Here is a 26273-nt window from a genome sequence, read left to right on the forward strand (position 1 = left end):
TTTTTGGAGATGGAGTCTTGCTCTGTCGCCCACGCTGGAGTGCAGTGGCGCGATTTTGGCTCACTGCAAGCTCCGCCTCCCAGGTTCACACCATTCTCTTGACTCAGCCTCCTAAGTAGCTGGGACCACAGGTGCCCACCACCACACCCGGCTAATTTTTTGTATTTTTAGTAGAGACAGGGTTTCACTGTGTTAGCCACGATGGTCTCAATCTCCTGACCTCATGATCCGCCCACCTCGGCCTCCCAAAGTGTTGGGATTACAGGCGTGAGCTGCCGCCCCTGGCCGAACAGGGGCTGATTTTAAATGTCAATGGTGACTGGGAAGGAGGCCTTCTAGTAACTAGAAAGATGCTGGCTATGAGCAGAAACGTAATAATACCCTCTCTGAGAGACTGCTTAGAAGGCTGGGTAAGTTCCCAGGAAATCATGTAACAAACAAACGTAGAGGCCTGGCCAAAGGATGCTCCATTAGCATACCACATAAACAAACCCTAAATACTTGGTTTTAAGTTTTCTAATACAAGATTATCGGGGATCTAATTTGTGCCAAGTTATTTCACCGACTAATCACCTGTTAGCAGTGTGGGGTGACCAAACACAACTTGAACTCATCACAGGTAATGAACTGAATTTTGCAGGCCAGACCATTTCTTTTCTTTCCTCTTGCTCTTCTTTCTTCTTTTACCAAATTTTAGAATCCCTCAACAATACAGTTTTAACTTTTTATGTTTCTAAACTTGAAATATATGGAATCAGACTGTCAGGTGGAATTCTGCAATGTTCTCTCTTCCCTTCACAACATGTTCCTGAGTAGAACATGCAGCTTTAAGTCGTTTCTTTTCACAATGCATTTTTCTACAACAGATAGACTTTTAGGTTGTCCCCAGTTCTCTGCTATTGGCAACATTTTGAGAACATTCTCATACCTATCTTTTGGTTCACGTATTGTGCAAGAGTTTCTCTAGTCTAGGGTAAACACCTAGAAGTGCAACTGCTGTGGCATACTATATGTTCATATTTAATACCAAATTGTTTTCCGAAGTGGCTGTACCTATCCACATTCCCTCCAAGCAGTACTACGTATTCTGGTTAGCCTATAGTTTCTCTTTTATTTTTTGGAGATGGAGTTTCACTCTTGTGGCCCAGGCTGGGGTGCAATGGCGCCATCTCGGCACACCGCAACATCCACCTCCCGGGGTTCAAGTGATTCTCCTGCCTCAGCCTCCCAAGTAGCTGGGATTACAGGCATGCGCCACCATGCCTGGCTAATTTTTGTATTTTTAGTAGAGATGGGGTTTCTCTATGTTGGTCAGGCTGGTCTCGAATTCCCGACCTCAGGTGATCTGCCCACCTCAGCCTCCCAAAGTGCTGGGATTACAGGCGTGAGCCACTGCGCCCAGCGGTTAGCCTATAGTTTCTCTATCACACTCTGCTTAGTAGGAAGAGCCTCAGAAAAAAGCTGGTCCGATAAATGATTTTCTTGGTTTTGTTTTTAACTATCTAGGGGGCTTCTTTAGAGGAAAACACATAAGATACCCACTTACCGAGCAAAGGGACTTTATTTTGCAGCAACTCACAGTAGCTTGTGGTGAGAATTCCAATGGGATTACTAGGTACGAACCGTCCTTCTTTTACTAAACGTTCACACGTCCGCATTAAAGTCCCTGAGAATTGAGATGGATCAACTCCATAGTCTCTCCAGCCTCCTACACCATCTGCAACCCCTGAAGAAAAAACAAAAATTACAGTAAAAGAACAATCTTACCAACTTCTCAGGAATTCTTACCTCTGTTTTCTCCTAACAGTTAATTTCACTACATGCTACTACATACATTCACTCCAAAATTCAGAATAAAAAGCACTCACGTTTAATGTATTCTACACTAACACTCCTAAGCCACATTCACTACTTAGAATTTGGCCTTTCATATATTGATGAATAAACTTTTGAGCTACCACAGGGTGGCATTGCCTACCAGCCAAGAGTTCAATTTCAGCAGGATTAGCATCTGTGTATAGACATATTTGTGTCATTAATACTTTGTCTTTTATAAGAATGAAAATTGATTTTTAAGCAAAGTGCTGATGCTAGTGACGATACAATTCAGTCAGAGCTGGAGATCACAAAGAACATCAAAAGCGGCAACCTTTTAACTCCAAACATTGGTCAATCGCTGGGAAATAAAGAACAAAACTGAGAACATATCCCATCCCCTCTCCTTCTACCCTGTAGAGGGCGGTACTGTACAATACAACAGCCATTCCTTACATGGTTACTGAGCACCCGAAATGAGGGAAGCCCAACTTGAGACATGCTCTAAGTATAAAACATACAGTGGGCCGGGCGCGGTGGCTCACGCCTGTAATCCCAGCACTCTGGGAGGCCGAGGCGGGCGGATCACGAGGTCAGGAGATCGAGACTGTCCTGGCTAACTCAGTGAAACCCCGTCTCTACTAAAAATACAAAAAATTAGCCAGGCGTGGTGGCAGGCGCCTGTAGTCCCAGCTACTTGGGAGGCTGAGGGAGGAGATTGGTGTGAACCCGCGAGGCAGAGCTTGCAGTGAGCCAAGATCGTGCCACTTCACTCCAGCCTGGGCAATGGGGCGAGACTCCGTCTCAAAAAAACAAACAAACAAACAAAACCACACACAGTGGATTTTGAAAACTTAGTATGAAAAAAAGTAAAATCTCTTTGGGAGGCTGAGGCAGGTAGATCACCTGAGGTCAGGAGATCGAGACCAGCCTGACCAACATGGTGAAACCCCGTTTCTACTAAAAATACAAAAAATTAGATGGGTGTGGTGGCAGGCAACTGAAATCCCAGCTACTCAGGAGGCTGAGGCTGGAGAATTGCTTGAACCTGGGAAGTGGAGGTTGCGGTGAGCCGAGATCGCGCCATTGCATCCCACCCTGGGCAACAAGAGTGAAACTCCATCGCTCTGTCACCAGGCTGGAGCAGTGGCGTGATCTCGGCTCACCGCAACCTCTCCGCCTCCTGGGTTCAAGGGATTCTCCTGCCTCAGCCTCCCGAGTAGCTGAGACTACAGGTGCGTGCCATCACGCCTGGCTTTTTTGTATTTTTAGTAGAGAAGGGGTTCACCGTGTTAGCCAGGATGGTCTCATCTCCTGACCTCATGATCTGCCAGCCTCGGCCTCCCAAAGTTCTGGGATTACAGGCATGAGCCACTGCGCCCGGCCCCCAAAATCTCTAATTTTTATATTCATTACTTACATACTGAAATTGTATTTTGGGCCAGGCATGGTGGCTCATGCCAATAATCCCAGCACGTTGGGAGGCCAAGGTGGGAGAATCACTTGGGCTCAGGAGTTCAAGACCTGCTTGGACAACACAGTGAGTCCCTGACTCTACTAAAAATAAAAAAATTAGCCAGGCATAGTGGTGTGCACCTGTAGTCCCAGCTACTCAGGAGGCTGAGGCGGGAGGACTGCTTGAGCCCCAGTGGTTGGGGCTACCGTGAGCCATGATTACGCCACTGCACTCCAGCGTGGGTGGATCAGCAAGACCTGGTCTCAAAAAATGAAACAGAAAAAGAATATTTTAGATATAATGCACCAAAGAGAATGCATTATCAAGACTGAGCTCACCTTTCTTTATTTACCTATTTTTTTTGAGACAGAGTCTCGCTCTGTCGCCCAGGCTGCTGGAGTACAGTGGCGTGATCTCAGCTCATGGCAACCTCTGCCTCCCAGGTTCAAGTGATTCTCCTGCTTCAGCCTCCCTAGCTGGGACTACAGGTGCTCGACACCACACCTGACTTGCATTTTTAGTAGAGACAGGGTTTTGCCATGTTGGCCAGGCTGGTCTCAAACTCCTGACTTCAAGTGATCTGCCCATCTCGGCCTCCCAAGGTGCTGGGATTATAAGCATCGGCCACTGCATCCGGCCAAATTTCACCTTTTAAAAAATTAACTATTATTATTTTTAGAGACAGTGGCTTGTTCTGTTGTCCAGGTTGGAGTGTAGTGTTACAATCACAGCTCATTGCAGTCTTGAACTCCCAGGCTTAAGTGATCCTCCTACCTCAGCCTCCTGAGTAGCAAGGACTACGGGGTCATGCCACCACACCCAGCTAGTTTTTGTTTGTCTGGCAATACAGAGTCAGGATCTCACTGTATTGCCCAGGCTTATTTTGAACTCCTGGGCTCAAGTGATCCTCCTGCCTCAGCCTCCCAAAATGCTTGGATTACAGGCGTGAGCCACCATGCCTGGCCTCTTTTTATTTTTAGTTAATATGAATATTAGGAAATTTAAAATTACATATGTGGCTCACATTATATTTCTACTGGATAGTACTAGTATAGAGATTTTCGTAGGCCCAAAGAGTTGCTGATGAGTTCAGAGTCTGCTTAGAGCTCCTTTATCAAGAGGAAATTAGTGTTTATGAAAGTCAATAAAATATCAAAGCCATCATACAATCTTCTACTCAAACTCTTGCAAAACACCAAGCTATTCTTTCCAACACTAAAACCAATTTCTATCTACTAAATTCAAAGACACTGAGAGAAAATGTCAAAAATATACATTATTAAGGCTTTAAATGGCCTTTCTGGAAGGATCCATAAGAAATATTAGCAATGGTTGCTTTAGAAATAAGGAACTGAAAACGATCCATGAACAAAATGGGAATTTTTGCCTTTTACTTCATACCATTCTGTATTAATTTTATTTTTATCATGAGCATGTATCATATGATTTTTTAAAACAGGGATTTTTTAATTTTTAAAACTTTCTGAGCATGAAACATCCTTCCCATACACACATTTATTTTTTGTACATTCAACTTTAAGAATGTATTTGGTACAAAAGTAGCAGAGTGCCTATATATACATCCCTGAAAAATTGGCTTAACATGAATTGGACATGTGAAACTATTTCTCTGGGGATGGCAGTTAACAAAAAGAAAGGGAACACATCGTGAAAAAGTAAGAGGAAACAGAATTGGAAGACATAAAGAAGGCAACAAATAGTGTATCACCACTGGGACAGCAACTTTCCCCACCTATGTGACCAACCAATAAACCAAATTTCATGACAGGGCAATTCCAAATTAGCTAATTAAAGTAATAAAAACTCTGGGATTCGTTTCAAAATATTTAAGGGGTTGAAGGGGGAGTGACAGAAGCACAGATGAAAGAAGACTGGCCATGAATGGATCGTTGTTGAAGCTGAATAAGAAGAACACCCATCTCTCTACTTTGATATATATTTGAAATTTTCCATAACACAACATTTAAATAATAACAATGATAACAAGTTTAAAAAGAAAAAAGACCCTTTTGCCTGCTGTGTGGAGAGCAAGAGCGGAAGGAGTTTAAGTAAGAGATCCATTTCATAGTCCACTCGCAATCTGCTGGCAGTGTGGTTAGAGGCGTGCAGACATTTGGTATCCATGAAACAGAACACGTGGATTGAGGGGTGAGGGAAAGAGAAGCAACCGGGCTAACTAGGGATCTATCTTACAAGGAACAGCACATTTCATTGTTTTTCAAGGAGTTGTGAAGAGGTTTGGGAAACTTATATTAAAAGAATTTAAGATCATTTCAATAGGAACTTCTTTGGAGAAACTCTTATTTTACTAGGAGTAAGATTTCACCATAATTTAAAACACAACAATTTATGTTAAAACACAGAATATAATTATAAGCCTTGCAACACTATCTGATGAATCATTCATTCTTTTCAAACCACTGCCTGCTTCAGGGAAGAATTTCTTCTTAAGTAGTCTCTGGTACAACTACAATTAACTTTAAATACAAATTGGTTTCATCTGCAAATGCTCTTCACAAGAAAACCATTAAAATCTAAGATAACGTTTAGAGTTGATCCTCGATCCTCGCACTCACTAAATAATCTGTCAGCAGGTTGAGTCTGACCTGACACAGCCCTTCAACATTAATCAGATTTCTCCCAGAATACAGCACAACCTTTTGGGCACCTGTTTGCTTTTTTACACGGGCAAAGGATGCCAAGCAAAACACCACTGACCAAATCTCTTTAGGGGAGAGAGAAATTCAAAAAGCATATAAACTCTTCAATAAAGCTGCAGGGAAAAAAGCCTTAATACAGTGCATATATATAACTAAATTATATAAGGGGAAGAGTTGTATTTGGGATGAGAATCAGACTAAAACTAGAATAACCTACTACACGTACATATGAAACCTAATTTTATTCATATTAGGTGGTTGTTTCTACACAGAAATTAATATGTCCTCTATTGCATAAGCAAAAGCTTCAGACTGCAAAGAGCAAGAATACCCTTTAAACAGTGGAACTGATCCAGATATAAAGGGAAATTTCATTCAGAATACATGTCAAAGGTAAAGAAAACTGTTAAAGGAGAAATTGCTTAAGATCCCAAAGATGTCAGGAACACAACTATCAAACAGCAAAGGATAAGAATAAGAATACCCTAAGAGCAAATGGAGGCCACACGTGGACCACCACATTGTGCATGCTGCGCTAGGAAATAAGACGGCTGAGAAAGCCGGTCTCTGAGAAGCTCCCCTGCTAGTGGGGTGCTAGACTTCTCACAGAGAAACCAGACAAACGGCTCCCATAAACACTGCTGCAGGAGGGTCAACAGCCAGTGGTTAGTGCTTACGGACACCACGAGAATGCAGCGCCTCAAGAACAGTGCCAGCCTGCTCTGAAAGTGGCATTCGGATAGGCCCTGGCAGGGGTCAGCCAGATTTCCACGGCAGGGAAGGATAACAAGAGGAAAAGAAAGGCAGACAACTAGATGCTGGGGCTTGGGTGAGCAGGGAGAAGCTGAAAAATGAAGGGCAGTAGCGAAAGTTGTAGAAAATCAAGAATGCCAGTTCAAGAACTCTAAAGTTCTTTATGCTACTGACCTGTGCTGTCTAACATGGGAGCCACTAGCCACATGTGGCTATTGAGTCTAAAATCTCACTTGTTTGGATTGAGAAGTGCTTGCTATGAAGTGTAAAATACATTCTGGATTCCAAAAACTTAGTACCAACAAAAGAAAAACTAAAATGACTTAGTAGTAGTTTTGTTTTCTTTTAAGAGATGGGGTCTCACTCTAGCCCAGGCTGGAGTAGTGGCCTGATCATAGCTCACTGCAGTCTTGAACTCCTGGGCTCAAGTATTCCTCCCACCTCAGCCTCCTTAGTAGCTGGGATTACAGACACACCCTGATACACCCCGCTACTTTTTTTTTTAAGTTTTTGTAGAAACAGGGTCTCACTATGTTGTCCAGGCTGGTCTCAAACTTCTGGGCTCAAGCAATCTCACACCTTGGCCTCCCAAAGTGCCGAGATTATGGGCATGAGCCACAGGATCTGGCCAAGTTTAACACATATATTAGGCATACTCAAGAGGTTAACAACGATAATAAAACAGAATAATTATAACAATATACTATAATAAATGTTGTGTGAATGTGGTCTCTGTCTGTATTATTGTTAGGTAATGTGGGTATATTAGTCCATTCTCATGCTGCTATGAAGAAATACCTGAGACTAGGTAATTTATAAAAGACGGAGGTTTAATTGAGTCACAGTTCTGCATGGCTGGGGAGGCCTCAGGAAACTTACAATCATGGCAGAAGGGGAAGCAAACACATCCTTCTTCACATGGCAGCAGGAGAGAGAAGTGCTGAGCAAAGGGGGAAAAGCCCCTTATAAAACCATCAGATCTTATGAAAACTTCACTATCACAATAGCAGCATGAGGGTTTATGGGGATTATTATGGGAACTACAATTCAAGATGAAATTTGAGTGGGGACAATGCCAAAACACATCAGTGGGTAATTGAAACCTCAAATAAGAGGGAACTACTGTTTCTGGATTTGGGGAATTAGAAAATATTGATTAGATTATTCTACAGTTGGCAAGGGTGTGTAAATGCCTTTAAAAGACATTTAATTCTGTCTTGGGTATGTCAAACTTCAGGTGCCAGCAGGGCATCTTTGTGGAAGTGTTGTGTATAAAGTGAGGAACTATGAGTTTGCGGCTGGCAAGGCAAGTTGGGGCCAGAAAATCTGAGAATTGATACCTTAGTGGTAGGGTATCCAGTTTGTCAGAATGATATAATCTCTATGGAGGTAGAGAGAAGTGAAGCTAAAAAGGAGGCTGAATTAATGACTAGAAGGGCCTTGAATGCCAAGATAAAGAGGTTGCACCGAATATAGAAGCTATTTCCTTTAATTCACTGTAATCATCTTATGTCTCCATTAATAACATTCTGTGAGCACACATCTAGCTTAAGTGTTTCCCTTGACCCAAAATCCAATTAAAATCACTATTAGATTAAGATAATGGTTACATATCAGAAATAGCTGAGCAAAAGATTGAGAAGAGACCATAGGGCACAGAAAAATCCTTTAGTGTTTTTGTTTGTTTTTGTTTTTTGAGACGGAGTCTCGCTCTGTCGCCCAGGCTGGAGTGCAGTGGTGCGATATTGGCTCACTGCAACCTCCGCTTCCCAGGTTCAAGTGATTCTCCCGCCTCAGCCCCCCAAGTAGCTACCACGCTCCGCTAATTTTTTGTATTTTTAGTAGAGACGGGGTTTCACCGTGTTGGCCAGGATGTTCTCAAACTCTTGACTTCATGATCCGCCCGCCTCGGCCTCCCAAAGTGCTGGGATTACAGGTGTGAACCACCGTGCCCAGGCTAGTTTTATCTTTTCAATGGAAATGTCAGTTTTATGAAGCAAAACGAGCAATTAGAAAATAGTTACAGTATTTATGTTTTTACAAAGTATTTTATTAAGTTTTCCATAGACTGATGCTTTTTCCCTTTTTCTTTTTTTAACAGCATCCTGCTCTGTCACCCAGGCTGGAGTGCAGTGGTGCAAACACAGCTCACTGCAACTTTGAACTCCTGGGCTCAAGGGATCCTCCCACTTCAGCCTCCAGAGTAGCTATGACTACAGGAATGCACCAACACACACAACTCATTTTTTTAAAAATTTTTTTTGTAGAGATGCGGTCTCATTATGTTGCCCAGGCTGGTCTCAAACTCCTGGGGTCAAGTGATCCTCCTGCCTCAGTCTCCCAAAGTGCTGGGATTACAAGCACAAATCACCATGCCTGGTTTCTACAGTTAAGAGTTAAAAAGGGAAGCAAAAAGAGTAATTCTGGGTGTCTGCCATCATTAAGTGTTTATAAGAAGAAAAAAATTTTTTTTTTTTTTTAAGAAATGGGGTCTCGGGCCCAGCGTGGTGGTTCACGCCTGTAATCCCAGCACTTTGGGAGGCCGAGGTGGGCAGATCACTTGAGGTCAGGATTTCAAGACCAGCCTGTCCAACATGGTGAAACCCCGTCTCTACTAAAAATACAAAAATTAGCTGGGTGTGGTGGTGCGTGCCTGTAATCCCAGCTTCTTGGGATGCTGAGGCAGGAGAATCACTTGAACCTGGGAGGTGGAGGTTGCAATGAGCCAAGATTGCATCACTGCACCCCAGCCTGGGCGACAGAGCAAGACTCAGCCTCAGGGGAAAAAAAAAAAAAAAAAAAAGAAATGGGGTCTCACTCTGTCACCCAGACTGGAATGCAGTGGTGTAGTAATAGCTCACTGCGGCCTCAAACTCCTGAGCTCAAGAGATTCTCCCATTTCAGCCTCCTGAATATCTGGGACTACAGGCATGTGCCACCATACCCAGCTATTTATTTTTTGTAGGGATGGGTCCTCGCCATGTTGCCCAGGGTGGTCTTGAACTCCTAGGCTGAAGTGATCCTCCTGCTTCGGCCTCCCAAAATGCTAGAATTACAGGAATGGGCCACTGAGCCCAGCCAAGAAGAAAATTCTTAAGCAATTTTCATTTTTCTAATTAACATGTTTTTGTCTTTGCCAAAATGGTATAACCATGTAAAATGGTAGTTATGACCAGGCGTGGTAGCTCATACCTGTAATCCCAGCATATTGGGAGGCTGAGGTAGGAGGATTGTTTGAGCCAAGGAATTCGAGACCAGCCTAGGCAACATAGCAAAACCCGTCTCTACAAAAAAATTTAAAAATCAGCCAGGGATGGTGGCACACACCTGTAGTTCCAGCTAAACAGGAGGCTGAGGGTGGGAGGACTGCTTGAGTCCAGGAGGTCAATGCTGCAATGAGCTGTGATCACACTACTTGCACTTCAGCCTGAGCGACAGAGCGAGACCCTGTCTCAAAAAATAAAAAATAAAAAAAGGTAGTTATAACCAAATGATAGCTATCTTAAAAATCCTATCTTCCCAATTACACAGTCACCTAACTGTGTAATTGCAAAAGGCTTACTATAAGAAAGACTTCTGAACTAGTCAAAATCAGCAAGAGCGTCTCCAGTCCTGTCCTCCATTAACAGCCATCAACATGATGTTGCAATTATTTTAAACCCCTCCTACTGCACTCATCTTCAGACTGACATGCAGTTACCTACAAAGCAAACGTTTTCTAGAAGAACGCGATGCCTAGAGAATAAATACTAAACTTCAATTTTAATATAAGCATCAATGAAGAAAAACAATTTGATTTTGTCCAAAAATGTATTTAATGTACACTCTGGAAGAATTTCAAATATTAAGTAGTATCCAAAGGTAATAGCTTTATTCCTTGCATCTTTGATGATCTCAAGGCATCTTACATCAAGCCTCGCATTCCAAAGAAGCATACTGGCTCTACATGGATTGTCTTTCCATCAGTGAAACACATCTCCTGCCTACTAGGATGGGTACTTGATAGTGAGTTGAAACTCTAGAGGAGAAACTGAATAAGAATCTGGCAGGATCACAATAATTGAATAACAGAAGTATCAGGAGACCCTCTGCACTCTAAGGAATAAGGGTATCTGCTTTTACAGACTTTCTGCAGTAAGGGGCCATCTAATGAGAAAGGGGGCTAAGCAATATTTATTGCAGTACGACAGGCATCTTTTCAGATGCTGAGGCTTTTCAAAGACTTTAGTGTTCTCAGAGCCAGCCTCATTTGTCTAAAGACATCACAGCATGAAGCACTGTAACTAGAAAAAAAATGAGATCAGAGTAGAAACTCAATTTCCTATCCAATGGAACAGATCACATTTATATCAACATTTCTTTTTTTTTTCTTTCTTTCTTTTTTGAGATGGAGTCTCACTCTGTGGCCTAGGCTGGAGTGCAGTGGCGCAATCTCAGGTCACTGCAACCTTCGCCTCCCAGGTTCAAGTGACTCTCCTGCCTCAGCCTCCCGAGTAGCTGGTATTACAGGCACCCACCACCATGCTTGGCTAATTTTTCTATCTGTAATACAGACATGGGGTTTCGCCATGTTGGCCAGGCTGGTCTCAAACTCCTGACCTCAAGTGATTGCCCCCCAACACAGCCTTGGGCTCCTAAAGTTCTGGGATTACAGGCATGAGCAACCGCATCCAGCCTATATCAACATTTCTTAAACCTCAACTATTTGGGCACTTAAGAACGCTCCCGACGGGGTGCAGTGGCTCATGCCTGTAATCCCAGCACTGTGGGAGGCTGAGGCGGGTGTATCATTTAAGCTCAGGAGTTCAAGAGCAACCTGGGCAACATGGTAAAACCTCCGTCTCTACTAAAAATACAAAAAATTAGCCAGGCATGGTGGCACACACCTGTGGTCCGAGCTGCTTGGGGGACAGGGGTAGAAGGATCACTTGAGCCCGGGAGCTGTGATCGTGCCACTGTACATGAGCCTGGGTGACACAGCAAGACCTGCCTCAAAAAAAACCCCAACAAAACAAAAAACACTCCCCTGTGATTCAAGACTGTGAAATGTTGTATCTGCAAATAATTATCCCAAACGGAGAGTCGCTTGAGCCAGGAGGTTGAGGCTGCAGTGAGCTATCACTGTGCCACTGCAATCCAGTCTGGGTGAAAGAGCAAGACACTGTCTCTATTTTAAAAATGAAAAAAATTAGCCATGCCTGGTGGCGCATGCCTGTAGTCCCAGCTACTCGGAAGGCTGAGGCAGGAGAATCGTTTGAACCCAGGAGGCGGAGGTTGCACAGGGAGCTGAGATCGCACCACTGCACTCCAGCCTGGGCAACAGATTGAGACTCCATCTCAAAAAAAAAAAAAAAAAAAAAAAAAAAAAATCCAAAATGAATGAAAAGCAGGATGACTGAAAAAATATATTCAACAAATATATTCTGTCAAGTTATACAGAAAAATGTCATGTGCTTTTTGACTAACAACAGTCCTTTCAGTTCTATGGAGGTAAAATTATATAGATTATGCTGCACTTCCTGTTTTAACAAGCAAGTGAAATACTCCCTTTGCAAGAAGTTTCCGGCCCAGTGCAGTGGCTCACACCTATAATCCCGCACTTTGGGAGGCTGAGGTAAACAGATCACTTGAGGTCAGGAGTTTGAGACCAGCCTGGCTAACATGGTGAAACTTCATCTCTACTAAAAATACAAAAATGACCCAGGTATGGTGGCGCATGACTGTAATACCACCTAGCTGGGTAACTGAGGCAGGAGAATCGCTTGAACCCAGGAAGCAGAGGTTGCAGTGAGCTGTGATTGAGCCACTGCACTCCAGCCTGGGTGACAAAGCGAGACTCTGTCTCAAAAAAGAAAAAAGAAGAGGAAAAAAAAAAAGAAGAAAGATGTTTCTGGCCAGTCGCGGTGGCTCATGCCTATAATCCCAGCACTTTGGGAGGTCGAGGCGGGTGGATCACCTGAGGTCAGGAGTTCGAGACCAGCCTGGCCAACATGGCAAAACCCTGTCTCTACTAAAAATACAAAAATTAGCTGGACTTGGTGGTAGGCACCTGTAGTCTCAGCTACTTGGGAGGCTGAGACAGAATTGCCTGAACCTGGGAGGCAGAGATTGCAGTAAGCAAAGATTGCGCCATTGCACTCCAGCCTGGGCGACAGGGTGAGTGAGACTCCATCTCAAAAAAAAAAAAAAAAAAAAAAAAAAGAAGAAGAAGAAAAAAGAAGTTTCCATTCCACATTAATCACAATGAAATCTGTGTCTTTTGATTCTCCAGAGATCAAGACTACGTCAAGAACAAGATCTCTAAGCAGAAGTTAATTCAAAAGTGAAGGTAATGAAGCTCAAAGGATGGACTGAAAAGTTCAACCCTGTAATAAAACATGTGAAAATGGCCGCATGAGGTGGCTTACGCCTGTAATCCCAGCACTTTGGGAGGCCAAGGCAGGTGGATCACCTGAGGTCAGGAGTTCAAGACCAGCCTGGCCAACATGGTGAAACCCCATTTCTATTAAAAATCAAAATTAGCCAGGCGTGGTAGCACATGCCTGTAATCCCAGCTACTCAGGAGACTGAGGCAGTAGAATCCCTTGAACCTGGGAGGCAGAGGTTGTGGTGAGCCGAGACTGCGCCACTGCACGCCAGCCTGGGCAACAAGAGCGAAAATCTGTCTCAAAAAAAAAAAAAAGTGTGAAAATGGAAACTATAGGCAAAACTCAAACAACAAAATCAAAGCTGTAGTAAGCGGTTCATTTTGTGTTTGAGAATTCCAAACAAAATAGTTAGCTATTCCTTGCTAGCTTAGTAATTATGAGACAACTTAAGAATTAATCAAATTAATGAGCCTCCACATACACTTACACCTATGTCTAGAATACTTCATTAACTAGAGAAGATAATTTCCAGACTATTCTGGGCAGTTGCCTTGTCTTAAAAAGCAGTGAAAAGTGCTGACATGAGGATTAGGAAACAATTGTGTGAAGGCAAAGAAACTTAAAGTCATCCTTTTAAAAATAAAAATGTTCTTCCTTTAACTTCAATAATTCTGTTTAAATACCAATACTTAATGTGGAATTATCTATTCTGGCTCAACTGTGGCTTGGGAACTTGTGCAAATTACAAACTTGGTATGAATCACTGGTCTGCCTTCCACAAACTGCAGAGTTGAAGGTTAAGTTACTGAAAAGGTCACTTCACTCCTTTCTGGCCTGCAACAGTATCTTCCTCAAATGCCAAATGCTGTTAGCAATGTTTCTGGACAGGAGGAGGCAACAAACAAATCATCTGGGAGGTCATACTTATTGTAAGTTATGAATAGCAGAGACAGGGCACTAATTATGTTACAGAAGTAAGGGCCTCTATTAAAGCTGTGGCTTCAGTTTGTTTTCAGGTGTTAGAAAATGTCACATAATACCAAATAATTCAAAAATTAAGTAAGGAAGTAACAAGCAATTAAGACCAGCTATCTGATATATGCCTACTTGTACTGGCCCTTTAGGCTGGGGAGAAGATTTTCCTTCTGTTTATAATTTACAAGATTAGATCTAGAATTCTTGTCAACCTGATATTTATGACAAGCCATATATCCTTGACCTAACCCCAAAGAAGATACTATTTACCCACTGCTTTCTTCACCCTCTATAAAAATAAGGGCTGGCCTTGACTAAAATAGGCACCCTCTGGGAGAGGTCTATAGTCACATGCGGCCTGGCACAAATGTAACTTTTTTTTTCCTTTAAACGAGAACATCATTCCTTTGAATAGCCTGCCAAGTGTAGAACTGTCTCTTAATTTCTGAACACTAATTTATATACACATATATATACACGTATATATATACATACACGTTATATATATATACACGTATATGTATATGTGTATATATACATACACGTTATATATATATACACGTATATGTATATGTGTATATATACATTGTTTTTTTTTTTTGAGATGGAATTTCACTTTTGTCGTCCAGGATGGAGTGTGATGGCACAATCTTGGCTCACTGCAACCTCCACCTCCTGGGTTTAGGAGACTCTCCTGCCTCGGCCTCCTGAGTAGCTGGGATTACAGGCACCCGTCACCATGCCCGGTTCATTTTTTGAATTTTTAGTAGAGACGGGGTTTCACCATGTCAGCCAGGCTGGTCTCAAACTTCTGACCTGAGGTGATCCACCCGCCTCAGCCTCCCAAAGTGCTGGGATTACCCACCACGCCTGGCCTATATTTTTTACTCTATACATTGTTCAACTAAGTAATGATCTTTGAGTAGTAGGACAATGAGTACTTTTTTTTTCTTTTTCATACTTTTTTTGTTTTGTTTCGTTTTTCAGACGGAGTCTCGCTCTGTCGCCCAGGCTGGAGTGCAGTGGCATGAACTTGGCTCACTGCAACCTCCGCCTCCCAGGTTCAAGCGATTCTCTGCCTCAGCCTCCTGAGTAGCTGGGATTACAGGCGCCCACCACCATGCTGGGATAAGTTTTGTATTTTTAGTAGAGACGGGGTTTCACCATCTTGGCCAGGCTGGTCTTGAACTCCTGACCTTGTGATCCATCCCGCCTTGGCCTCCCAAAGTGCTGGGATTACAGGCGTGAGCCACCGTGCCTGGCCCATACTTTCCAATTTTTTAGCAATGAGTAATGTTACTTTCATGGGAAGGATGACAAGAACTATTTATGTAAATCAGGTAAAAACCACATTCTATACTCACATTTAATATTAAAACTATTCAAAACATTCTATTGGACATTTACTGTATGCAAGACACTATGGTGAAAGGGAGCTAAAGATTTATATGTAATAAAATATTTCCTGCATATGGGAACTTAAAATGAAGTGATGATTTTGGTTGGGGAGGACAGTTTAGGGAGATTCAAGATATATGACTATAATAAAGTAAAATATGCACCAATAAAAACAAAAGCAAAGAAGGTCAGATTATGCATAGCTGAAGGAATCAAAAGGATTAATGAAGAAGTGTCTGAAATGAGCCTTGAAGGATGAAAGAAAATGAGTTGTAGGAGAGGAGGCTGACAAGACAGGCATTTTGAGCAATTCCCTAGGATTCTGACTTACATGAATAAAGTACAAGTCATAGCAGGTGAGGGTTCCAAGAGCAGGGAAACTTGACCTCCAGGTAAATGTCTATTACATTCATGCCAGGAACCTCTCACCATTAATCAGCGCAAACAATGCAGTGCAGAGCTTACGGCATTTAGGAGTCCCTGGAAGGAAAGGCTGGCCTGAGGCTACCAAACTCAACAAGGCTTGTTAAGTTTTTGTTTTAACTAATAGTTAACAGTTAAGCAAAACCCCTTAATTAAAACAAAAGCAATAGCTAATAACTAAGTAGAAGTCACAATCAGCCAAAATCACCTCCCTAAAAGAAAATCTAAAATGATCTTTTCTAACTGGAAAGGCAGTGTGGGATACTGAGCAAGGACACAGGCTCTGGAGGCAGATCTGGGTTCAAACTCCAGCCCCAGAACAAGATGTGCTAAGCATGGCCTTGGGCAGCTCTCTGAGCTTCAGTAGCTTCACCTGTGAATGGAGTCGTATCCTCGATTTCACAGGGCCGGTGTGAGGAACGAGGATAACCTCTTCAGAACATCTACCAGTGCTCCGCTCACAGCCAACATTCAGCAAGTTAGAGTTATGCCTATCTCTAAGAAAGGCTGGCGAGCAGCAAACAGACCAGCCTAGACTGCAGCAATCAGAAAAAAAAGAGTCTTTGACCCATGTTTGTAGGCTGCCAGCTCTACAAACACTAGTCTGTGGTCACAACCAAAAGACAATGCCCACTCAGAGATAATGCATAAAAGATAAGTAGTCCATTCAGCTCTTTCAGTCACACATCCACCACCATTCAATATTCCATTAAACATTCAATAGTAACATTTTCAAGTACTAATAAACATATATTTGTCTCCAAAAATAACAAGGAAAAAAGGATTTACCTGCACTTTGAAAAGAATATTTTCCCCAGAAGGACTCTGAAGTAACCTTACTTAGCAAATACTTCAGAGCCTGCTGCCTCCTGTGTCAGGATTCCAACTCAAAGATTTCTCATTTTACATGGGAAATCCTAAAACTATGAGGAATACATACATGGGCCTAACCATTTTCTTCGTCACTACAATAATACCAGTGCCTTTATAGCGATCTTCCCTTCTCTTTTCTTCCCCTGTACATTGTGAGCCTCCAAAGGGCTGAGTCTCACACAGCTAACCGTTGTTTCATCCCCACTGGCTGGCCTAGTACCTGGCTCAATGATTCCCCACCCTTGCTGCACAATGAGATTACCTATGGAACCCCAGCCCTACTCCCTGAATCGGTGTGGCCAGGGTGGGCCTAGGCCTCTCAGCACAGGCGATTCTAATGAGAATCAATGGTCCAGCTGGATGGAAGCATTCCACAAGCCTGATGGTTCTGCCTGTAAAATGCCTCTTGTACCAAGCAATCCCATTTTCTGTTCCCAAACTTGATCCTTCCTTTTGCATTTCCCACCCTAATTAATGGCAGCCCAGCTACCCATACATACTTCCAGGCTTAGAACCCTTAAGGCATCTTCCAAGTGCAAAACCTCTAACTCAATTTCCACTCCTCTTTCTCTTTTATCCTCTGACCAATTATCACCAAGCCTACCATGAGTCTGAAGCTCAACTACTTCCCACTGCCCTAGGTAAAGCCCTTTCTAGCTCAGACAATTTCAGTAGCTTCGTAACTGGTCTTTTGCCTCCTGTTCTCCCATTACACCCTCTGTATCGATTTGTTTTTTACAACACTGCAATGTCCATGTTACTCCTCTAGTCAAATACCTTCCATGTAATATGTATTTATTTGCTTGTATATGTGAAATATTCTTTAGAAGGATACACAGAAACTAGTACTGGTTGCCTCTTGAGAGGACTTTGTAGCTTGGAGACAAGGGTGATGAGACTTCACTGTGCACTCTTGAATTCTGAACACCTTTTAAATTCTGTACCATTTGAATGTGCTGCCTCTTCAAAAGCAAAGACCTCTTTCTACAGCTTCCTCCCCACCCACCCCCCAAAAAACAAACCAAACCAAACAAAAAACCCACCCAATTCCTTAACATGATAATTTAGTCTCAGTCTATTTTCTAACATCAATTCTCAACACTGACCCCTATGCCGACCCTACCAGCCATGAAACAGCTGTAGTTTTGGGGATCTACTTTGCCTTTGCTGAGCCCTCAATCTGGAGTATTCCCATTCTTCTCATTTGCCTCAGCTTACTGAAAAACCCTTCTCTTAAGGCCTGACGTTGTGCCCCTACAATCTCATGCGTTTTTTTTTTTTTTTTTGAGACGGAGTCTTGCTCTGTCACCCAGGCTGGAGTGCAGTGCCGCGATCTCGGCTCACTGCAAGCTCCGCCTCCCGGGTTCACGTCATTCTCCTGCCTCAGCCTCCTGAGTAGCTGGGACTACAGGCGCCTGCCACCACGCCCGGCTAATTTTTTGTATTTTTAGTAGAGATGGGGTTTCACCATGTTAGCCAGGATGGTCTCGATCTCCTGACCTCGTGATCCGCCCACCTCGGCCTCCCAAAGTGCTGGGATTACAGGCGTGAGCCACCACGCCTGGCCCTCATGCATATTCTTTCACACCAGTCCTGTGCATGTTTGCCTTCCCCACAGGACTATGAAACATCAGGGTTGAAGTCTGTTTTGTTCATTGGTCTTTAAAACAACTGTCAGGGACTAATAGGAAGCAACCAATAAACAATGAATTCAGCTGACCACACTGAAAAGTTAGAACACCAATATCTGGTATACAAACTTTCAGCCAAAAACTCCAAAGGGATTGAACCTAGTAATGGATCCTAGCGTTTCACAAGGTGTCATTCCCTGGGTCAGAACTCGCTACAAGATGTTCCTCTAACAGGCCATTCAAAGAGAAGGCTGCCAGGCAAGGTGGCTCAAGCCTGTAGTCTCAACTACTTGAGAGGCTGAGGCAGAAGGATGGCTTCAGTCCGGGAGGTCGAGGCTGCAGTGCACTACAACTACACCTGTGTAGAGAATAGCTACTGCACTCCAGCCTGGGCAACACAGCAAGACCCTGTCCCCGCCCCCCCCCCTCAAAAAAAGCCAGGTGCAGTGGCTCACGCCTGTAATCCCAACACTTTGGGTGGCCAAGGTGGACAGATCACTTGAGGTCTGGAGTTCAAGACCAGCCTGGCCAACATGGTGAAACCCCATCTCTACTAAAAATACAAAAATTAGCCGGGCATGGTGGCGGGCACCTGTAATCCCAGCTACACGGAAGGCTAAGGAAGGAGAATTGCTTGAACCCAGGAGGCGGAGGTTGAAGTGAGCGGAGATCACACCACTGCCCTCCAGCCTGGGCGACAGAGTGAGACTCTGTCTCAAAAAATAAAAAGTAAAAATAAATAAAAATAAAAAAAGAGAAAGAGAGGGCTGAGCTGATGGAAAGAGCATTAAAGAAAAGTCTGGAGATAACACTGCTCCCAACTTTCTTTGCCACTAACTGGACCTAAGACACTGGTCAGATCGTTTCTCTAAGCTTTAGTTTCCTCATCTGTGAAATGAGGGGCAGGAAGACACAGTCTCTCTAGAGTCCCTTTCTCGGATCCAAGACTGTGGGACTTATAAGTCACACTGCAGGAAAAAAAGAGCCAGTTTAAGAAACTTTATAAACAAAGGCTAACAAATAAGGCTATCCTGTCTTCATTCACTTAGGAAAAGAAAACAAAACAAATAGGGCTATACTTTGCATTTCACATACAATATTACATTTACTGCATGAACTAGTTTTGAAACAAAGCCTTCATTTCTGGCTTCCCAATTTATCTCTTGTCCTTATTGCACTGCCACATGTATATTTCCAGTGAAGTTTCAATAATGATTTAGAGAGTGGAAACAGTGCCCCTTGTCCTTTCACTTTAGTTTTAAACACCTAACTAAAATGTTGGCAAAGTTTTTCTTAAAGCCACTAACAAACACCTCAACCACTTTTCAATCTGAAATCCTAATAAAAGAATAAAAGATGATGGCCAAGCACAAGATCCTGGAACAACAACAACAACAACAAAGATGGTTATAAATTAGTATTTGTGGGGAAAAGCAAGAGAGATCAGATTGTTACTGTGTCTGTGTAGAAAGAAGTAGACATGGGAGACTCCATTTTGTTATGTACTAAGAAAAATTCTTCTGCCTTGAGATTCTGTTAATCTATAACCTTACCCCCAACCCCATGCTCTCTGAAACGTGTGCTGTGTCAACTCAGAGTTGAATGGATTAAGGGCGGTGCAGGATGTGCTTTGTTAAACAGATGCTTGAAGGCAGCATGCTCCTTAAGAGTCATCACCACTCCCTAATCTCAAGTACCCAGGGACACAAAAACTGCGGAAGGCCGCAGGGACCTCTGCCTAGGAAAGCTAGGTATTGTCCAAGGTTTCTCCCCATGTGATAGTCTGAAATATGGCCTCGTGGGAAGGGAAAGACCTGACCGTCCCCCAGCCCGACACCCGTAAAGGGTCTGTGCTGAGGAGGATTAGTAAAAGAGGAAGGAATGCCTCTTGCAGTTGAGACAAGAGGAAGGCATCTGTCTCCTGCCTGTCCCTGGGCAATGGAATGTCTCGGTATAAAACCCGATTGTATGCTCCATCTACTGAGATAGGGAAAAACCGCCTTAGGGCTGGAGGTGGGACCTGCGGGCAGCAATACTGCTTTGTAAAGCACTGAGATGTTTATGTGTATGCATATCTAAAAGCACAGCACTTAATCCTTTACATTGTCTATGATGCCAAGACCTTTGTTCACGTGTTTGTCTGCTGACCCTCTCCCCACAATTGTCTTGTGACCCTGACACATCCCCCTCTTTGAGAAACACCCACAGATAATCAATAAATACTAAGGGAACTCAGAGGCTGGCGGGATCCTCCATATGCTGAACGCTGGTTCCCCGGGTCCCCTTCTTTCTTTCTCTATACTTTGTCTCTGTGTATTTTTCTTTTCCAAATCTCTCGTCCCACCTTACGAGAAACACCCACAGGTGTGTAGGGGCAACCCACCCCTACATCTGGCGCCCAACGTGGGGCTTTTCTCTAGGGTGAAGGTACGCTCGAGCGTGGTCATTGAGGACAAGTCGACGAGAGATCCCGAGGACGTCTACAGTCAGCCTTACGGTAAGCTTGTGCACTCGGAAGAAGCTAGGGTGATAATGGGGCAAACTAAAAGTAAAATTAAAAGTAAATATGCCTCTTATCTCAGCTTTATTAAAATTCTTTTAAAAAGAGGGGGAGTTAAAGTATCTACAAAAAATCTAATCAAGCTATTTCAAATAATAGAACAATTTTGCCCATGGTTTCCAGAACAAGGAACTTTAGATCTAAAAGATTGGAAAAGAATTGGTAAGGAACTAAAACAAGCAGGTAGGAAGGGTAATATCATTCCACTTACAGTATGGAATGATTGGGCCATTATTAAAGCAGCTTTAGAACCATTTCAAACAGAAGAAGATAGCATTTCAGTTTCTGATGCCCCTGGAAGCTGTTTAATAGATTGTAATGACAACACAAGGAAAAAATCCCAGATGTAGGGGTGGGTTGCCCCTACAGTATTAATTGACTTCACGAAGTCAAATGATCTATAAATACTCATGTATAGAATTGTACAGTAATTATTGCTGCTCACCTCTAACTGTGCCTAATTTATAAATTAAACTTTATCACAGGTGTGTATGAATGTACAGGAAAAAACATAGCCTATATAGGGTTTCATACTAAAGAGCTTCAGGCATCCACAAAACATACTAACCTTGTTATTCAAAGACCATTGATTGTTTGGTGAATTGTGTATTGTAATAAGAAAAAAATGACAGGATCAAAATGGCCTTTCAAAACCAAGAGAAATGGATTTCTAAGAACAATGCATACATAAGGCATCCTTATTTAGACTTTCTAATTTCATAGAAACACTAATGGTTCCATCACCAATTAGTGGTCAACCTAGAGGCCATAAACAGTTTTCTAGCTCTTATGGAAATAGCTTAAATCTTATTTTCTTGCCCCAAATTGCTATTCAAACATAGCAGATATGAAAACAGAAGCACTTTTTGTTTGCCTCATTCAGCCCAGCCAACCTTTTGCATTTACCTCAAATGACAGCATAGACTAATTTTGGTAAGTCAAAAAACTTGCTAGATAACAGCATCCTTGAAAGATAACAACGTGGCTAGGTGCAGTGGCTCACCTCACACCTGTAATCTCAGAAGTTTAGGAGGCCAAGGTGGGTGGATCACGAGGTCAGGAGTTCAAGAACAGCCTGGCCAACATAGTGAAACCCCATCTCTACTAAAAATACAAAAATTAGCCGGGTGTGGTGGCATGTGCCTGTAGTCCCAGCTACTAGGGAGGCTGAGGGAGAATCGCTTGAACCCGGGAGGTGGAGGCTGCAGTGAGCCAAGACCACGCCATTGCACTCCTGCCTGGGTGACAGAGTGAGACTCCGTCTTAAAAACAAAAAACAAAAAACAAAAAAGATAACAATGTACAGAGTAGTCCAAAAAGAAATAAATTCCCTTTCTCTTCAAAATACTCTGTTAATGAATACGAGAACAGTGCAAACGTGTGTTGGAATTCACCAAGTAAAAATAGTACTGGGCCCTTCAGCAGAAAGCACTCTTTGTAGAAAGTCACTTTCGTAGTCTCTGGCAAAGTTTTTGCAGTCATTTTGTAGTCCTTAGGATTCATACCAACAATTCAATCCATTCTAGAACTTATTCACCTCAAAAACAACTATTTAGGAACCTAGTAAATTTATAAATTCTTAAGTGAGACAGACTCAAGATCAACAATAAGCTTGCTGATGAGAGCAATTTCACCACAGTTGGGAAAGTAATATATAACCTTTCTGGAGGACCTATCGTAATCTTTTTTAAGTTTTTATTTATTTATTTATTTATTTATTTTTGAGACGAGTCTCACTCTGTCACCCAGGCTGGAGTGCAGTGGCATGATCTCAGCTCACCGCAACCTCCGCCTCCCGGGTTCAAGTGATTCTCCTGCCTCAACCACCAGAGTAGCTGGGATTACAGGCGCCCGACACTACGCCCAGCTAATTTTTGTATTTTCAGTAGAGACGGGGTTTCACCATGTTGGCCAGGCTGCTCTCAAACTCCTGACCTCAAGTGATCCACCTACTTTGGCCTCCCAAAGTGTTGGGATTATAGGCGTGAGCCACCACGTCCGGCCCTATGGTCATCTTTATATCAAAGGCCTTGCAAATGCTCATAGGCTTTGACCCAGGAATTCCTCTTCAAGGAATTACCCTGAGGAAATATTCAGATGTAAAGAGATACTCATTCTAGTGTTATTTATAACAGAAAATTGGAAACAACCTAAATAACTACAAATAGAGGACTGGTTTAGTAACTGATGGGCTATACATGCAGGAGAATATGATGCAGTTATGCTTACCAGTATGGAAACATGCACTCCAGCATGCTTCTGGAGTCACACACTATTAAAAACTCCATTTGCACACTGTTGCAACTTTTTAAAAGCTTTACAGAGTAGGATGCATATTAATCCAACATGTATTCTGTTTTTTAATAACATGTATACAATTATATACACAAAGGCTAGAGGGAACCACAATGACTATAGCTTACTATAGCTGAGTTATGATTTATAGGTGTTTTATATGGTACTTTTCTGAAGATGTGTTACTTTTATAAGCACTAAACATCCATTTATTTAAAAGCACTACACAGGCCAGGCACGGTGGCTCACACCTGTAATCCCAGCACTTTGGGAGGCCGAGGCGGGCAGATTACTTGAGATTGGGAGTTCAAGACCAGCCTGACCAACATGGAGAAACCCCGTCTCTACTAAAAATACAAAATTAGTCGGGTGTGGTGGCACATGCCTGTAATCCCAGCTACTCGGGAGGCTGAGGCACGAGAATCGCTTGAACCCGGGAGGCGGAGGTTACGGTGAGCCGAGATTGTGCCATTGCATTCCAGCCTGGGCAACAAGAGCAAAACTCTGTCTCTAAATAAATAAATAAATAAATAAAGGCACTACACAGGCTGGGCACGTGGTTCATGCCTTAAATCCCAGTACTCTGGGAAGCTGAGGTGGGAGGATTGCTGGAGCCCAGGAATTTGAGACCAGCCCAAGCAACACAGAGAGACTCTGTCTCCACAATAATTAAAAAAAAAAAAAAAAAAAAAAAAAAAAAAAAATTAAAAGCATTAGACATGCAAGCAAGAGACCTAGGTTCAAGTCCCAATATAATACTAACTATACCACCCTTACTTGATGTGTCAGTTTTATAGATGAGGAAACAGATTCACATTAAGTGGAGATAAGAGCAGCAGCTTCGTAGTTACAAAGATTAAATAAGGTAAAACATAAAAATGCTTTGCAACTTCTAAGGCACTATATAAAGCACTAGAAGGATGGGAGAATCATGTTTTGTGTCAGATATGAAACAACTGGCTTAGAAAAAAAAAAGAATGAAGCATTTTTACTCCTTAAAGAAAAGCTTCTGTCCTTCCCCATTGCCCAATCCTCAACCCCCAATCCTGTTGGGGATTTTTCCTGTTAGAGATTTTATTCAAAAACATTTAGCATCTCTTTTCTTCTTTAAAAACTTTAAACTAAATTGAAAGAGCTGTGCCAGTTGTCAACTCAAGTTGAAATGAATAATAAGTCGTGTGTTAGCCTAATGCCCTCTGCAATAGGTCAGCTTTTACAAAAAGTCTTGATTTATGATATGCAATTTTGTGAACTGTTAGGAAACAAATTATTTTAGTTCTCAGGGAGACAGAAAACTCCCTATCAGATTATTATTATTATTATTTTGAGACAGAGACTGGCTCTATCATCCAGGCTGGAGTGCAGTGGCACGATCTCGGGTCACTGCAACCTCTGCTTCCCAGGTTCAAGCGATTCTCATGTCTCAGCCTCCCTAGTAGCTAGGATTACAGGCACTCGCCACCATGCCCGGCTTTTTTTTTTTTTTTTTTTAAACTTTTAGTGGAGATGGGGTTTCGTCATATTGGCCAGGCTGGTCTTGAACTTCTGACCTCAAATGATCCACCCGCCTTGGCCTCCCAAAGTTCTGGGATTATAGGTTGTGACCCACCGTGCCCGGCCCCTATCAGGTTTTTAAAATATATGACGACTCCCAAACAAGACAGACTCATAAATTTTATTACTAACAACAAAAATTAGGATCCAGGACATCACTTCTTAAAAAGAGATCAAAAGTTAACAACTAATTTTGAAAGGCAAACTCACATTATTTTTCATAAACTAAAACTTCCAGTTTGAAAAGTCAAATTTCTTTAGAAATAAAATACTGCTAACTTACTTTTGCAAAGCATTTTCCTAAAACTTCTGAACCTAAAGCCCCAGGCAAGACCTCTCTCTAAAAGGCATGGGAACATAAAATGAATTTGACATTTAGCTTGAACTTAACTTTAGCATTTGAGCTACTCAAAGGACATGGTTGTAGGTCACATTCTAACCCGGTGTAGTGCTTCTGGTGTCACACACTAGTACAAACTCCATTTGGATACTGTTGCAACAATTCAGGTTATGTATTGCCCAGTTTCACAAACCAGTGCTAAAGTTCAGGGTACAGCCTCCTCCCATGCAGCAACCCCACCTCAAAAAAAAAAAAAAAAAAAAAAAAAAAAGCTCCACAACAGCTTGCATCTGTAATCTACCTTCTGCTACAATTTAAAACCTCCTTAATAAACAGTTATGCTTCTAAAATTCAATTACTTGCACTACAAAAGGATTCAACCAGAATCCTTTACAGAGACTGTTAACAAATCAAGAGATAAACTGTAAGTTAGGAAAATTTTAAACTAAGCTAGAAAATCTCAAAAGATTTGTGAACAAAGGAAAAGTAGCTCTGAAGCTATAACAAATGAAGAAATGACTTCAAAAATAAAGGTACCTTAATAAGTAACTTATAAAACTGCAACACACCTATATAGCAAAATGAGAAAAATACCAAGGAACAGAAGTTTAAAAAGCAAACAGCAAACCTCCTCTATCCATCAACCCTGTAATCTTATGTATTACAGAATGAAAGACCACTCAGAATAGTCAGAAAGCCACTAGTCAATGGCTTCCTAAACCCTGCTATTTCATTAGTCCTAGATGGCTCTTTTACTAAATCCACTCACACTTCCTTATTAATATTCCACAATTTTCTCTTGGAAGCACACAGCTCATTATGAAATCAGGCATATTTAAAGTACTGATTGATCTCAGAATTTATATATTTGATTGCTGCAATTTTTAAAGTATTTTCCCTTATATAAAATAATTATATGTATATTAATATTATATAGCTACATAAAAAAACAGCTATATTCCTCACAAAGTTAAACAGGGTTACAATATGACCCAGCAATTCTACTCCTAGGTATATATCCCCTCAAATTAAAAACATGTCCATACAAAAGCTTGCACACAAATGTGCACAGCACTATTCACAATAGCCAAAAGTAGAAACAACTCGATGGCCATCAACAGATGAATGGATCAACAAAATGTGGTATATAA

The 26273-nt window shown here is 42.2% G+C and overlaps 1 protein-coding gene across 4 annotated transcripts in view, besides 2 other annotated features; it reads right to left on the reverse strand.

Annotated features, from left to right (window-relative positions):
* Window positions 1–26273, reverse strand: part of PPTC7 (protein phosphatase targeting COQ7) — a 50074-nt gene that overhangs the window by 16998 nt on the left and 6803 nt on the right. For all 4 annotated transcript variants that reach the window (NR_138550.2, XM_024448869.2, NM_139283.2 and 1 more), the window contains exon 2: window positions 1547–1726. Coding sequence is in view for 3 of the 4 variants with exons in the window: in XM_024448869.2 (XP_024304637.1) it covers window positions 1547–1726 (180 nt within the window). In the remaining variant the exon portion in view is untranslated. The remainder of the gene's footprint in view (window positions 1–1546; window positions 1727–26273) is intronic.
* Window positions 25251–25395: an enhancer, noted in NCBI's record as "145 bp enhancer 250 fragment used in the MPRA reporter construct; PK_construct_1607". NCBI's record gives its function as "activates an SV40 promoter by MPRA in HepG2 cells {active_cell/tissue: HepG2}" and the evidence as "EXISTENCE:reporter gene assay evidence [ECO:0000049][PMID:23512712]".
* Window positions 25317–25330: a transcriptional cis regulatory region, noted in NCBI's record as "HNF4 motif; enhancer activity is reduced when this motif is scrambled". NCBI's record gives its function as "necessary for full MPRA enhancer 250 activity {active_cell/tissue: HepG2}" and the evidence as "EXISTENCE:site-directed mutagenesis evidence [ECO:0005528][PMID:23512712]".

The sequence above is a fragment of the Homo sapiens genome, chromosome 12, assembly GCF_000001405.40.
Source record: "Homo sapiens chromosome 12, GRCh38.p14 Primary Assembly".
In the NCBI taxonomy this organism is placed as follows: domain Eukaryota; kingdom Metazoa; phylum Chordata; class Mammalia; order Primates; family Hominidae; genus Homo; species Homo sapiens.